We start from the raw sequence: 15,530 nt of genomic DNA, 5'->3' as shown, positions 1-15,530 counted from the left end.
AACTGTTTAACATAAAGGTTGGAGAAAAGATGAAGGGGACTGTAGGAAACCCGATGAGTTAGGAGCCACAATTAATTACAGATTAACCAAAAATGGAAAATATAGCATTTGAAATTATAAAGTAAATGCATAGTTCTTTTGTAAAATGCAGTTTTGAAAACCTCACATTGTCACTTTTTTTTATTTTTTGTCTTTTTTTTTTTTTTTTTTTTTTTTTTTTTTTGCAGAAAGGGAGAGATAGCTATAATTTGGAAAGCATTTCACCCTCTCTGGATACAGATAGAGCCCTAGTTACATACAAAGTGAAGGAAACTTTACATTCCAGAAAAGAAGAAATGCTGATGGCAACTCTAAGAAATGCCTGACTCCCTTGAAGATCCACGTGAACGGTTTTCACCTGGCTTGCTTCCAATGTCAGCGGACTCTGAACTTAACGTTTGTTTGCATCTTCTGCCTTCATTTGCTCAGAGATGCTATTGCTGGTTGAATACCAGTTCCACGTTGAGCCTTTCCCAGATCTCCCTCCTCTAGGTCACACTGCATCCCCACATACTCAGGCAGAGACTATGCATATCTCAAAATCTAGTGAGAGTAGCAGCATCTAACAACTAGGAGCTCAATAGTTGTCAGGGGTGTTGGGCCTCAGCGACTCTATCTCTACCTTTTAGTCAGGAGAGTAATTCAGATTATACAGGCTGCATATGTTTACTGTCTCATCATATCAAACACTTTAGTGTGGATATTAGAAGTAGAGGAAAAAGCTCTCAAATAATTCAAATCTCCTGGGAGAATTTGGACTCTCAATAATTATTCTATTGTCCTTATACTTTTAAAAGTTTAACAATTGTTTTTAGTGCTTTCTAAAAGATAATACATGCACATGATAAAATAAAAGCCAATTCAATGATTATGTTTCAAGAAGAGAGTGAAAAGTCATAATATGATTTTGTTTGTATCTCCTGCCTTCATTTGTTCAGAGATGCTATTGTTGGTTGAATATCAGTTTGTGTTTGAGCCTTTCCCAAATCTTGACGCTCTGTGCCACACATTAACTTCTATGGGTGGACCAAGACAATCTATGGGATGAATTCCTCAGTCTGGAGTAGTAAACTTCTGGGGAGGTAAGCAGAGCTTCGCATTCTGGATCTCAAGCTAAGAGTCCTAAATTGCTATAACTTTGGTCACTGCACAGTCTTTTCTGACCAAATCTATAATCTATACATGACAACTCATCTGGTGAGAAATTATATTACTAAATGAGTGGACAAAGTATTTGTGTATGCTTCTTATAAGCTATTAGCCATAAAAGAAAGTGTTTAGGTAGGTCGATGACAAATGACTAAGAGAAAGAGAGTTGTAGAGAAACAGCAAGACTTTAGAGCATCTAACTCCATCTCATTCTGTAAAAGAATCTTTCATTATGTAAAAAGAAACTGTAGCCTGGACAGTGTGAGGGAAGGGAAGGGACAAGGACAGAATGAAAGAAGGCTATTTGCCTAATCATTAAAAAAATAATAATTGCTGGCCAGGTGCAGTGGCTCATGCCAGTAATCCCAGGACTTTGGGAGGCCAAGGTGGACAGATTGCTTGAGCCCAGAAGTTTGAGACCAGCCTGGGCAACATGGTGAAACCTCATCTCTACCAAAAATACAAAAAATTAGTCGGGCGTTGTGGTGCCCACCTGTGGTTCCAGCTACTCGGGAGGCTGAGGTGGGAGCATCACTTAAGCCCAGGAGACAAAGGTTGCAGTGAGCTGAGATCATACCACTGCACTCCAGCCTGAGTGACAGAGCAAGACCCTATCTCAAAATAATAATAATAATTGATTATATAATTCATATTAATTTAAAGTAGTCTTATGGTTCAGTCTTGTGGTTTAGTATCAAATCACAGATACAACAGTCCCACAGAAAAAAAATATAATTAACACCAACTTAGGTCTTAGTTTCTTCATAAAACACCAAAGAAGGGAGTGTGTGTGTGTCTATATATATATATATATATGTTTTTTTTCGAGATAGAGTCTCGCTCTGTCGCCCAGGCTGGAGTGCAGTGGTGCGATCTCAGCTCACTGCAACCTCCACCTCCCAGGTTCAAGCAATCCTCCTGCCTCAACCTCCTGAATAGCTGGGATTCCAGGTGCCTGCCACCACTCCTGGGTAATTTTTGTGTTTTTAGTAGAGACGGGGTTTCACCATATTGGTCAGGCTGGTCTTGAACTCCTGACCTCAGGCAATCCACCTGCCTAGGCCTCCCAAAGTGCTGGGATTACAGGCGTGAGCCACTGAGCCCTGCTGGGAGTATATTTTTAATATGCATCCAAAGAGCTTAAAAAGTCTTCTTTACACATTTTTCTCTATCAAGGATGTGCTCCAGCAGGAACCAACTAACAATGAATCTCTCCAAGCCTTACTCTCTTGCTCTCTCTATAACCCCTTAAAATTCCTCCCAACACTCAAGCCACACAGTTTCTTTCCTTTCTTCCTCAGCATTTTACTATACAGATGAATTTAACCTGTCTGGTTTCCACCCCATATTTTAGAACATGAACACTCAGATTGAAAGAGCCTATCATTACCAAGCAGGATAAACTTTAAAAATAAATTCATACATAGTGATATCAAAACAAAACTCCAGAGCATTGAGGTGAAAAAGGCAATCCTAAAAGGTACAAGAGGATACAGAGGATTATCTACGAAGGAGTGAGAGTCAGATCAAAAGGATACTGCTCATCAACCAAAGCAGTCTCAAGAAAATGATGGAATAGCTTAGAAATGCTCAGGAAAAATCAATTTGAACTTAGAGTTCTATAACAAGCCAAGCTAACATGCAGAGAGAGAGAGCAAAATATCTTCTCAGACATACAAGCCCTTAGAAAAATGTATTACCCACTCTGATGGAGAAGGGAGGAAAAGCAAAAGAAAATCTACCAAAGATGTGCTCCAGCAGGAAGAAAAATGAATCCAAAAGGTAATGATGGGCTATAAGCAGTAAAGAAGAACTTATTCATGTTTTATTTTTGTAATTAGAAAGTAATCGTTTTTCAAAGGTTGGGGAGAAAAGAAGATAATAATTCTTTATTTATATTCCATTTTGCCTTTGCATAATATGTCACTATAGTTTGCAAAATGCTTTCCTATAAATTGTCAGCAGCTAGAATCACAGGACCTACAAAAATATGTTTTAAGAGGGCTATGTTAAGACAAATATTAATTCCAATAAAACTTGGAAATGTGATCCCTGAATCTAGTAAGATATTTCTTGCCATGTACACTGGCTGTCTTCTACAATCATTATGATGACAACGTCATTGGGTCTAAGAAGGGTTGATGAACATGAAATTTAGCAGACTTTTTTTTTTTTTAACTCTGCCTACCAAGTTGAACCAGATTATGGACTGGTAGATAAGGAGATGAATGGAGGTAAGAACTATAATAGTTCAGATCGGCTGATGCATTCAAAAGGGACTCACGAGAAGTTCAGACTCTGAGGTTTATGAACTAGAGAGGACTCTCGCCGCCAGGGTGTGGCAGGGAGGCCACTATTCTGCCCAGAAGGCCTTCTAATGACAGATCCTAGGTTCCCCAAAGGCGCCTATTGAGAGGCTCATGGTGCTATTGCCTGTGTCATAGGCCGTGAATTTAGGGCTTGGAATCTCTCACTTGAACTTTTTTACACCATCCCTGATGTGTGCCAGAAAAAGAGCAGCTGCCAAAAAGCAGACATTTTCCTGTCTCTAAAAATAAAACACTGGCAACGCTTCAGGCTCCTGTGCCAAGACCTGGCCCTTCCCAGGATAAACAATAGATGGCCAAGCCGATTGGAGAGCAAATATTGAGTCCTGAAGTATGTCTAAGTCCAGCCTGAAATGCCTAGGTCAGGGCATGTGCACTCGAAAGCCAGGAAGCCAGAGAAGGCCCTCCCTGCTCCACAGCTGATGGACGGCAGCTGTTGCGCCCAGCCATGGACCAGGTGTGGCTGAGAGGAGGCCTCAGGTTACACCCAGACCTTGACCCAGCTCAGGTCACAGAGTCCCTATCAGGTCCTGCCCCTAAAGCCCCAGGGTGCATGGTGACAGATCTGAGGGCCTGTGAAATCCTGTCCAGAGAAAGCTCCCTGGGAAGGAAAGAGTTTCAAAAGCATCCTTCTGCATTCGTCACTCAGGGCTGTGCTCGTCACCTGTCAAAACTCCTCATGCCTAGCTGAGAGCGCTCACCTGCTAGACACAGGACCAGCAAAACCTCCTGAATATAGGAATGCTATAATAACAGTGTTCCCACTCTAATTGCCTCCCAGTTTGTCAAATCCTTCTACAGCACGTGTTCAAGCCCCTGTGCCTTGTCATTAGGGTTCAAACCTTCCAGACCATAGCTTGGCTTTTTGCTGGTTTGGGGACTTAATAAGTCTAAGAGGGGGTTAGGGGAGGAGAGGGCCTAAATATAGCAAATATTTGCAGGCATAATCACTCCATAAACATGCTTCACTGGAACAGAGTGTAGGGCTGACCCAGATGACGGATGTCACTCACCCAAGTGTCACATCATAAATAAAATTGAATGAGCCCATTCTCTCGCAGAACCAGAGTGATGCCTGTTCCCACTATAAATATTTATGAAGTCATCGTCCTTAAAAGACTTTATTTTTCCAGGTAAGTAGACTTTAAGGAACAAGTTAAGCAGAGCTTTGCCTGCAATTATGGAATAGTCACCATAGCTTTTCAATGGGTATTCCATGGAAAGGAAAAGAAAAAGAGAAAGAAGATAAGGAAAAACAAGTCCCTGTTCCATAGGGCTGCTGCACGAAGACCTCATTTATGCCAGCCAAAGTTCATTCTCATTCAAAAAGTGACAGCCTTCTCTGGGAAGAAGAAACCAGAAGCAGAAACCAGAAGAAGCCCTATCAGTCCCATTCCACTCAGGCCTGTGTAATGAAGGCGGCACAAACAGATCCTTGTCATCCAAATTCCAACCCCTCCCACCACCTCTGCTAGGAGAGACATTCTCCTTTGCATTCTCACTCTCCCAGTCTGTCTCTTAGTAACAGAAAAAAATGTACACCTCATCCCATTACTATGCTCATTTGAAAAGAATTCTCACAATGTGAGGATGTGTGCCTGGGTGGCTCTCTGGGTGTTTATGCAAAGTCTACTATTTTGCCCATAGTTACTCTTCCAGATTGCGTGAGGAATGGCACCTCGGAAACCCTACTGGCATCTGACAATCTTTTCCTGTGCTCCATGCACTCAGGAGGAGCAAACACCTCCTCCAGGCTTAGGAGCACTCCAACAGTCCCCTTCTCCAAGGCACTGTGGCAATCCCCGACCTGGAACTCTCAAGCCATTGTCTCCACTACAATACATGCTAATTTTCATGTCACGTTGCAACTTCCATGTTATTCATCTCCTCACTGCACCAAAGCCCTCGCCCAAGTGCATCAAGCCTGTTTCTTTCCCAGGGATGGCCTTGTGCCTGGGCTCTCTTCCCCTCCAAACTCCGGGGTGGCCCCTGCTTTATCAGACTGAACCGGCTCTAAGGAGAAAAGTTGACGATCATCCTGCTCTAGCCTCCGGGAAGTCTTGCTCCACAAAGAACAAGAGTCTCTGGTTTTGTGAAATGAGTCACAGGCTGCCTTGACCATGCCTATCTGGGGAGGCCAGGGCTGCCATGTATGGTCTGTGCTCCGTGGCACCCACCTCTCGCTGTCAGTCCAAGCTCTTTGCCAGGACAGCCTGAGTCATAAAACTCAGCACATTCCTCAGGCGTTGGCTAGTCTTTCCTTGTTATTACTTTGCTTTTGTTTTATGCAGCACCTGGTTTCATTTTTAAAACCCAAATAAAAATCACACGGTCAGGGCGGGAGTGGGGAAACAGGAGGAACAGCAAAGGGCTCTAACTCCGCAAACAGGGAGGCACAGAGCAGGACAGAGATGGGACTGCGGCTGAGGGACTGGGGAGATTCAGGATGTGCCACTAATGAATTGGTTTGACCACAATCTTCCTTGCTGTATATGATAAAGCTCTTGATGCCCAGGTCTCTTCCCCACCCTCCCATCCCCAAATTAGGCCGCAGTACTGTACTCATCAGCCACGTGACCTTCCCGAAGCCCCTCCACTTTCTGAGTGTCCTCAATCAATGGATATACATCTCGGATGAATCCTAAGGAACACTCTAGTTACAACACTCAGAGTCTATGAACCTGCCGGTTCCCTTTTTCTTGGACACAAGCCCTAACCCACGTGTGAGGGAATATGTTTCCACAAGCAAATATTTGTTCTTTGCCTTTTGGGGGTTAAGGAATGGTGGACAGACAGGCGAGAAGGTGTAGACCCCACCATACCAATGTTGCTGGTCAAATTGAACTTGTGTGGCCAGGTTACTGTTGCAACCTATCTGTAAAGCTGTTAGCCTTCATTTTTAGAATTAAAACAGAATTCTAATCAGCTATCCTCTGCGTATAGTAAAAAACAAATGATGAATTAATGATAGCCATTACCTTGGAGAACTGTATTTTCTTGGACTAGGAAAAGCCAAGAAATTCGAGATTAAAACCAGGATCATGAGGTACTAGACTCGGAACCTAAACAGAGGCCTTTCTCTCCTTCTGCCTGGGATGTCTACTGGGGCTGGCCAGGGCAAAACTCCGGAGGTTCCTAAGTGGCTACAGGGCTGCCTTTTCAATGCATGCTTTTGGAGAGCTTAATGGAAACCATACGAAGGTTGCCGGGAATCAGACCAGATGGCTCCCGGGGAATGTATTTAACCCGACCTAGGGCTAAGAGACAAAAATAATCACTAGGAGTTTGTGGGGCGGGAGGCAGGGGTGGTGCTGCGACTTTTAATTGTATTTTCTATTCAACAGAAATCCTAAGAGAAGGACGGTCTTGGTAACTAGGAGTAAACGGAAGGGGGTGTGGGGAGCAGAGAGCGGGGCTGGGGAGGAAGAGTGGTAGGAGGCGGCTACTTTAGTAAACCAAACACCGTTCTGCTTTTCCTCAGAAGTCGGCGGCTGCCGGGGCCCTTCGCGGGCCTAGACGGCAGCGGGCTCCTTCCCGCGCCCCAGGTCATGTGCAGCCCCTGCCGCTCCCGGTCCCTCCCTCCCGCGCGCTCCGCGGGGGCGACGAGGCGGGCGGTGGTGGGGGGGAATCAGCAGGAGGAGGGTCGTAGGCGGCGGAGGCGGCCTGTGGACGCTAGGGGAGGAAGATCGTGGGGGAGAAGAGGTGGGCCGTGGAGGAAGAAGGAGACGGCCGCTCCGGCGGGCCGGGAGGAGCGGGAAGAGGCGGACCGGGGAGGGGAGGGGCAGGCGGCGGGTGGGCGGGCCGTGGGCGCGGCTTTGGGGGCGCAGGCAGCCTACCGAGGGAGCCGGGACGGGAGGGCCACGACTCCGCCCCTGAGCTCGCGAGCCCGCCGCGTCTGAGGCCGCCCCCGCCCCCGCGACTGTCGGAGCCAATTCGCTTCCCGGCGGCGCCTTGCGCGGAGGAAAACCTGGCGGTGGAAGGCTCCGGCTCTGCTGGGTGACCGCTCTGAATACAAAGAGCATTTCTCACGCCCCTGCGCCTTCCCCGGGGCTCCCAGATACAAGGGACAGGCTCTGTGACGCCGGAGCCCCCGACGGTCGGGGCCGCAGCACCATTTCTGTGGTTCTAGCAGAGAAATGTGGTCCCAAGTATTTATTTAAAAAGGAAAATTTAATAAAGATTATAAAAACTTTTGTCTCTCTCCACCAATTAAAAAGGGAAAAAACTGATAAATGAAGCCCATGGAATTGTCCCAGAAAGCCAACCTGCCAGGGTCCAGACGTTCCTGGGCGGGGCGGGTGGGGGGAGGGTGTTGGGAGGGCCCCATACCTCAAAGTTGTTTATTAAGCAAACTCCACGCCTCCAGCCTTGTGGCTTCATTTTCCAACTCAGTTAAATGGCGATGAGGGTCCTCCCCAGCCATAATCGGAGTATCGATCAGCTTCTGAATCCTCAGATGAGCAAACCTTGCTTTCAGAATCGCACCGTCCATGAAGCTGGAGAAAAATGGCCTGGTTGTCAACACTCGCTCATCCGCAAAGGTCACTTTTCCACAGAATTGGGAATTAAATGGTCTCTTCCAAACCAGACATCATTCATGAGCAGGAGATGGGATTGATCCTGCATTTTCTTCCATCTCTCTTAACCTTCCTGTTTAATATATTGTGTCTCTGTTAGGAAGGCCAGATTAATAAAGTGGGAGAGAAAAAGGGCAGGAACTCTTGCAATCCCTAACCGGCCCCCACTGCTTCTCTGGTAAGATTCTTTCCAGGTTTCCCTAATTCCTTTAGTTCCCACATTCCTGGATGTGAATGCTCTGCTTTCCAGTTTCCATCAGGAACTTCTTCAAGATAGGACACAGGAATATAAATATTTAGAGAATGATTACCAAAAGCACTACCCAGCAAGCAAATACTTTCGAAACTAAGAATAGTGTTAATGATCGTTGAAAATTTCATTCAATCTCTACTTATTGCTTTGATGCAGGAAATTGGGCATTTATATATCTCAGTGCTTGTTCTCCTCCAAACTATATATATTTAAAAATATTAAGATTTGCCTTGTCTCGGCCGGGCATGGTGGCTCACGCCTGTAATCCCAGCAGTTTGGGAGGCCGAGGTGGGCAGATCACCTGAGGTCAGGAGTTCGAGACCAGCCTGGCCAACACAGTGAAACCCTGTCTCTACTAAAAATACAAAAATTAGTTGGGTGTGGTGGCACACACCTGTAATCCCAGTTACTCGGGAGGCTGAGGCAGGAGAATTGCTTGAACCCAGGAGGTGGAGGTTGCAGTGAGCCAAGATCACGCCATTGCACTCCAGCCTGGGCAACAAGAGTGAAACTCCTGTCTCAAAAAAAAAAAAAAAAAAAAAAAAAAAAAAAAAGATTTGCCTTGTCTCATAAATAAAAAGTCATGATTTATTTTTTTGCTCAGGACTCTAGGTCCAAGGTTTTCCAAATATGTGCCCCATATTAATTGTGTGGTGTGTGTGTGTGCACCTGCATGTACTTTTAGTCTGTTATTGCACCACAAAAACAAGAGCAGGATTAATGTCATTTATTTGTTGGGAATGGTTGACTTAAAAGCGGCTACTTTGAGTACAGAGAATTCCCTTTCTGGGAGGGGTTGGGGAAGCACCTTACAGAGAGAAGCAGCTGTTCCCCAGAACAGCTGCAGACACTGACTGGCAATGGAATTGCTTGGCACCAGTACAACTCCATGTAGGCAAGAGGGATTTATTTATTTAACAATAGTTAATGATTCTCCCAAGCAACTCCCAAGAGGCCAGCTTTCAGTAAATGTACTTTCAGGAAATCATCTACCCTTCCTAGAAACAGGCATCAACCCTACAGTGAAGGGATGTCCCTGGTTGACCACACAATATAACTTTCAGGGGACCATGCAGCTACAAATGCCCCCAAACAACTCCCTCCACAGTCTGCCACCGCACTGGCTTTCCCTGTTTGAAATGCTCCCTGGGAACATTATCAGGTCCTAAGCAGAAAAGTTGAGAAAAACTGCACCATTTTTGGAAGAGCATCATTAAAATAGACTGGTTGCCTGGGAACCAGCGTGGGTCATCCAACCCTCTCCCATTAGCGAAATGTATCATATCTGCTAGTTAATGTCCAAAGACCAGCATTTCCAAGTGAAAGTGAAATGTATGTATAACTGGTGGTTCTTGTGATACTGTTAGGTAGTACTTGTATAACATTTTTTATTTTAATGGTCAGGGTTTTTTTTTTAACACACATAACGAGCATATCAAACCCATGGTATAATAAACATAATTACTTAGGATGAGTCTGAGTTTTTTTTAAGTTAAAGAGAAATCTTAATAAAGTAATAGAATAGCAAAAATAGTTGTAACTTCTATGCAAAAACCAGTTTTTATTCTTTCTTTCAACTTACTCTCTAAGAATGTCTGCCAGAACTTTAAGACATAAAAAGAACCCCATTTTAACAATCTGTTTAAAAGCCCTGGGGTTTGAGAAAGTCTAATCAGGAAGGAGAGAATCCCTGGTCTGGAGGGTCATATTGGGGAAGCAGGGACCATAGATGCTGAGTGGCAGGACGGGCACATGAGGAGGGAAACTCCAGCCACCGGGCAACCAGGGTGGATATGCGGCAGGGCAGGACTATCTGAGAACTCTCTTTTTCACAACAGGCAGAACCCAACAACTCACCGATGAAAATTTGGACAGTACAATAGAAATTCCAACTGCTGTAAACCTCTTAGGGGCTTGTTTCCAAAACAGCTGTGGAGAGATCCACCCAAGAAACTATTCATGATGCTTTAAGAAAGACTTTATCTTATCAGAACAGCTCCGCTTTTTGCCTGATTGTAACTTAGGGAATACTTTTATACCAACTCTAAACATACACAGGCCACCACCCCTGCTGCCATGTAGAGACACTCAGAACCCCGCTTCCTGACTACCCCACAGATCCACTGTTGCATGGCAAGTAAAAAGATTCTTACATGCTTTAGGACACCTTTCCCTCGTCGACTGTAGTTTATCAGGGCCTCCTGTGCTGGCTTTTTAGGTCTCACACCTAGGGTGAAGAGATAGCCAATGTGTGAGTGTTTGCGATAAAGAGAGTCTACCATAAGTGAAATTTCCTGACATTCCCAAACCTTGTTTTAAATCAATAGATCCAAACCTTCACATACACAGCCCCCTCCTCTGCCACCAGCATGAGTGACAAATGCCTCTTGCATTTCTCCCTCCTGTTATTTCTGCATCCTACCTTTTGTATTGTTAGGAGAGATAAAATGATGTAACAATGTGGGTGCCAGGAGGAAGGAAGCAGAAATGCAAAAGGTATGAAAATATCACATGAAAGGACCGGGCATGGTGGCTCACGCCTGTAATCCCAGCACTTTGGGAGGCCAAGGAGGGAGGATCACAAGGTCGGAAGATCGAGACCATCCTGGCTAACACGGTGAAACCCCGTCTCTACTAAAAATACAAAAAATTAGCCGGGTGTGGTGGCGGGCGCCGGTAGTCCCAGCTACTCGGGAGGCTGAGGCAGGAGAATGGCGTGAACGTGGGAGGCAGAGCTTGCAGTGAGCCGAGATCGCGCCACTGCACGTCAGCCTGGGAGAGTGTGAGACTCCATCTCAAAAAAAAAAAAAAAAAAAAAAAATCACATGACCACGATTAAAATAAAGGCCAGAAAATGGATGTAAAGTAGTAGTTCAGGATGGGACTTACAGTATTTTCCATAATTTGGAGGTGTCGGAAAACAATCACCAAAATCCCAAATTTGATGTGCCTATAAAAAGGAGAGATAGAAATAAATACCAACCACTTTCATAATAATAGAAATCTAATAAAATTCATTTTCCCAACATTGTTCCTCCCCACCCCTGCATTCAGAAAGCACTGATACTGCTGTCAAAAGCCACCACTGTGAGTGCAGTGTAGTCTCAGCCACTTGGGAGGCTGAGGCAGGAGATTGTTTAAGCCCAGGAGTTCAAAGCCAGCCAGGGCAACATAGCAAGACCCTGTCTCAAAAAAAAAAGAAAAAGAAAAAGCCACCACTGTAATAACAAACAATAACAGTAAAATATAGACAAAGGAGTACAATCCTAATATGAAAATACCATATACAAATCAATAAGAAAAAGCTAAACACCCTAGTAGGAAAATGGATAAAGGAAATATACTATCATTATCATTCAAATATAATTATTCATGAATCAGTGTTTGCAAATTCACCTACTTGCTAAAATTTATTTGTAAATTAATTAAGCTCCATTCTAGCATTAGTTATAGTGCTGTTAGCCATGAGTTCATATATTAAGTGTCTTTAAACAGAAATATACATAAAAACAAAATTATATATTGATCAGTCGACAAAGATGTTGTGACTGGAGGCTCCCAGGAATCTAACCTTATATTTCCTTTAGGAACAATGGTTCAGTATTCCTTAATTCAGTATTCATGGTGATTTTACAAAATATAACCACAAATAGTGAGAATCAATTACAATTCATGAAAGAACTATGAATGATGAATAAACATAGGAGAAGATGCTTGACTTCACTAATAATCAAAGAAATGAAATTAAAAGAAAATTGAACTATCTTCATCTGTCAAGTTGGAAAACATCAAGATTATATTTTAAAGCTAATGTTAGAGAGGATATAGGAAAACAGGCACTCTCACGCACTACTAGGGCACGAGGCCAGTTTTTGGGAAGGCAGTTTGGCCATTTGTAAAATAAGTGTACTTTTGACCCAAGAATTCTTCTTATGGGAACGTACCCTGAAGAGATGATTTTACAGCTACAAAAACGTATATTCAAATTGATCACAGCATTGGTTACAGTAGTTATAAATTAGAAAACCTTAAATGCCTCCTTATATGGCGTGTGTGTGTGTGTGTGTGTGTATATATATATTATATATAATATATATTATATATACACACATTATATATATAATATATTATATATAATGTATATATTATATTATATATTATATTATTATATATAATGTATATATATAATATATTTTATATATATATATATATATATATATATACACATTTTTTTTGTAGGTGGAGTTTCACTCTTGTTGCCCAGGCTGCGGTGCAGTGGCATGATCTCAGCTCACTGCAACATCCACCTCCCGGCTTCAAGCAACTCTCCTGCCTCAGCATCCCAAGCCTCTGGGATTACAGGCACGCACCATCATGCCCGGCTAATTTTGTATTTTTTTTTTTTAGTAGAGATGGGGTTTCACTATGTTGGTCAGGCTGGTCTCAAACTCCTGACCTCAGGTGATCCACCTGTCTTGGCCTCCCAAAGTGCTGGGATTACAGGCATGAGCCACCGTGCCCGGCCTATGGCATATTTTAAAATTGTAATGGAGTCAGTTAATAAAATATTACGTATCCATTAAAAATCGTAACAAATAATTATGTTGATTAACACTGAAAGATGTCCATGAAAATATTGAGGGATAAAAGCAGGTTACAGAGGACAGTGTCCAGTGTGATCTCATCAATATACTGTGTGTATGCATGTATCCTTATGTATACATAAGTATAGAGAGACATTTATAAGGATGTTCACTGAAATGAAAATGGTGATTGTCCCTGGGGGAAGATTTCAGATAATCTTTACTTTGTTACTCTGTATTATTTGAATGTTTACAGCCAGAGAAAAGTTATTTTTAACTGCCAGTATATTATATATAATTTTTCCTCTGCAAGGAAAAGAGGAAAAGTTGGTGATGATAATAAAAATACAGTATCATCAGTTGTTCACAATTCGTAACCTTGGTTATTGTTGTGTTCCTATCACCTAATAGAAAGCCACACACAAAATAAGCACTCAGGAATAAACGTTTGGTGAATATTGTTTTTTAAAAATTTAACCCCTTTTGTTTTTTTAATGAATAATATGCAGTGTATAATAATTTAAGCTCTCTACAGGTAAGAGATTGCTGAGAAATGTTGGGCTTACCACTCCATGCTTGACATCAAATGACTTTTTAAAGGGCCTGGTTATATCAGGGAATAGTCCTGCATGCACATGAAGAGGGAAAATCAGGATTAAATGCAGAGTTAGAATAAAATTCCTTACACTTCCAATTAGGCTATTACCACAAATTGTACACACTTCAATTGCTTCCCTTTAGCATCTAACCAAAAATTATAGTTACATAAGAGGAGTAAGTTTTGTTGTTCTATAACACTGTAGAGGCAATACAGTTAACAGTAATTTATGGCCAGACACCGTGGCTCATGGCTGTAATCCCAGCACTTTGGCAGATCAAGGCAGGAGAATCACTTGAGGCCAGGAGTTCAAGACCAGCGTTGGCAACATAGGGAGACCCCCGTCTCTACAAATAATAATTTTTAAAAATTAGCTGGGTGTGATGGTGGCTCCTGGGGTTCCAGCTACCAGGGAGGCTAAGGCAGGAGGATTGCCTGAGCCTGGGAAGTGGAAGATGCAGTGAGCCATGATTGCACACTGCACTCTAGCCTGGGCAACAGAGCAAGACCCTGTCTCAAAAAAAAGCCCAATAGTTTATTGTGTATTTTCTTTTTTTATTTGAAATATCTCTGGAAAATTGAATATTTTCGAATAGCTACAAGAAAGGATTTTGAATGTTCCCAACACAAATAAATCATAAATGTTTGAGGTGATGGATATGCCAGTTACCCTGACTCACTCATTACACATTGTATACATGTGTTAAAATACCACACTGTTCTCCAGAAATAGATGCAATTATTATGGGTCAATTAAGAATAATATCTTTTTAAAAGTAAGCATCAAACAGGTAAGACAAAACTGTAGAAGTTAAATTCATAGTAATTCTTCTGGAGCTTTTGGGAGAGGTAAATATTTTTGTGTCTGCTATGTTCTCCTATGATACACAACTTACACTCTTAGAATTAGAGAGAGGCAAGACTGCTGAAATTCCAAGGCTTTAAATTTTTATTAAGGTCTTGAGAAGCTCAGATGCATTTTTTAAACAATTTTATTGATATATAACTTATAAACCTTGAAATTGACAAAATTTAAGTACACAGTTCAGTGAATTAAGTAAACTTATCAGGTTATGCAATCATCACCATAATCTAGTTTTAGAGTATTTTCATCATCCCAATAAGATTCCTTTTGCTCATTTATAGTTAATCCCCTTTCTTACCACCAGCACTAGAAAACCACTCATCTACTTTCTCTATAGATTTGCCTTTACTGGACATTTCATATAAATGGAATCATACACTATGTGATCTTGTATGTCTGACTTCTTTAACTTAACACAATGTTTTGAGGTTCATCCATGTTGTAGCTGTTTTAGTATTTTGTTCTTTTTTTTAATTGCTGAATAGTGTTCCATTGTACGAATATACTAGATTTTGTTACTCATTCACCAGGTAACAGACATTAGGGTTTCCAATTTTGGCTGCTATGGATAATGCTGCAATGAGCATTCACATGCAAGTCTGTGTAGACATGTGTTTTCATTTCTAGTGGGAAAAAACCTATACGCAGCATCACTGGGTTCTGCTATTAATTTTTGTTTAACCTTTAAAGAAACTGCCAAGATGTTTTCCAAAGTGGCTGTATTCTTTTATATTCCCACCAGCAATGAATGAAGGTACCTATTTCTCCACATCTTCTCCAATATTTGTTATTGTCTTTGTGATTATAGCCATTCTAATGGATGTGAAGTAGTAACTCATTATGGTTTTTTTCTATTTATTTATTTTTTTAAAAATTTCTAATTTTTTTATTTCAATAGGTTTTTTGGGAACAGGCGGTGTTTGGTTACATGAGTAAGTTCTGTAGTGGTGATTTCTGAGATTTTGGTGCACCCATCAACCAAGCAGTGTACACTGTACCCAAGTGTAGTCTTTTATTCCTCATCCCCCTCCCACCCTTTCCCCCGAGTCCACAAAGTCTATTGTGTTATTCTTATACCTTTGCAATCCTCATAGCTTAGCTCCCACTTACGAGTGAGAACATACGATATCATTGTGCTT

General features: G+C 42.3%; 1 protein-coding gene across 12 annotated transcripts in view, besides 3 other annotated features; it reads right to left on the bottom strand.

Annotated features, from left to right (window-relative positions):
• Positions 1-15,530, bottom strand: part of C4orf51 (chromosome 4 open reading frame 51) — a 112,298-nt gene that overhangs the window by 51,980 nt on the left and 44,788 nt on the right. For 10 of the 12 annotated variants that reach the window (XM_047416079.1, XM_047416083.1, XM_047416086.1 and 7 more), the window contains exons 3-6: positions 13,495-13,553; positions 11,235-11,295; positions 10,499-10,572; positions 7,845-8,011 (exon numbers count right to left, since the gene is read on the bottom strand). In XM_047416079.1, the coding sequence (XP_047272035.1) occupies positions 7,904-8,011; positions 10,499-10,572; positions 11,235-11,295; positions 13,495-13,553 (302 nt within the window). In that variant the 3' untranslated portion in view covers positions 7,845-7,903. Of the gene's footprint in view, positions 1-7,666; positions 8,012-10,498; positions 10,573-11,234; positions 11,296-13,494; positions 13,554-15,530 lie in introns of those variants that run through there. The other 2 variants (NM_001080531.3, XM_024454189.2) reach the window with 2 other exon arrangements.
• Positions 4,870-5,667: an enhancer, noted in NCBI's record as "H3K27ac-H3K4me1 hESC enhancer chr4:146655949-146656746 (GRCh37/hg19 assembly coordinates)". NCBI's record gives its function as "activates a minimal SCP1, AML or CMV promoter by ChIP-STARR-seq in naive H9 embryonic stem cells {active_cell/tissue: H9 hESC(naive)}" and the evidence as "EXISTENCE:reporter gene assay evidence [ECO:0000049][PMID:30033119]".
• Positions 5,668-6,467: an enhancer, noted in NCBI's record as "H3K27ac-H3K4me1 hESC enhancer chr4:146655149-146655948 (GRCh37/hg19 assembly coordinates)". NCBI's record gives its function as "activates a minimal SCP1, AML or CMV promoter by ChIP-STARR-seq in primed H9 embryonic stem cells {active_cell/tissue: H9 hESC(primed)}" and the evidence as "EXISTENCE:reporter gene assay evidence [ECO:0000049][PMID:30033119]".
• Positions 7,023-7,622: a silencer, noted in NCBI's record as "silent region_15733". NCBI's record gives its function as "represses an Ori minimal core promoter by ATAC-STARR-seq in GM12878 lymphoblastoid cells {active_cell/tissue: GM12878}" and the evidence as "EXISTENCE:reporter gene assay evidence [ECO:0000049][PMID:35858748]".

This window comes from Homo sapiens, chromosome 4 (assembly GCF_000001405.40).
Source record: "Homo sapiens chromosome 4, GRCh38.p14 Primary Assembly".
Lineage (NCBI taxonomy): Eukaryota > Metazoa > Chordata > Mammalia > Primates > Hominidae > Homo > Homo sapiens.
The sequence above is the reverse complement of the archived record's forward strand: the minus strand, read 5'-3'. Positions and strand labels throughout refer to the sequence as shown.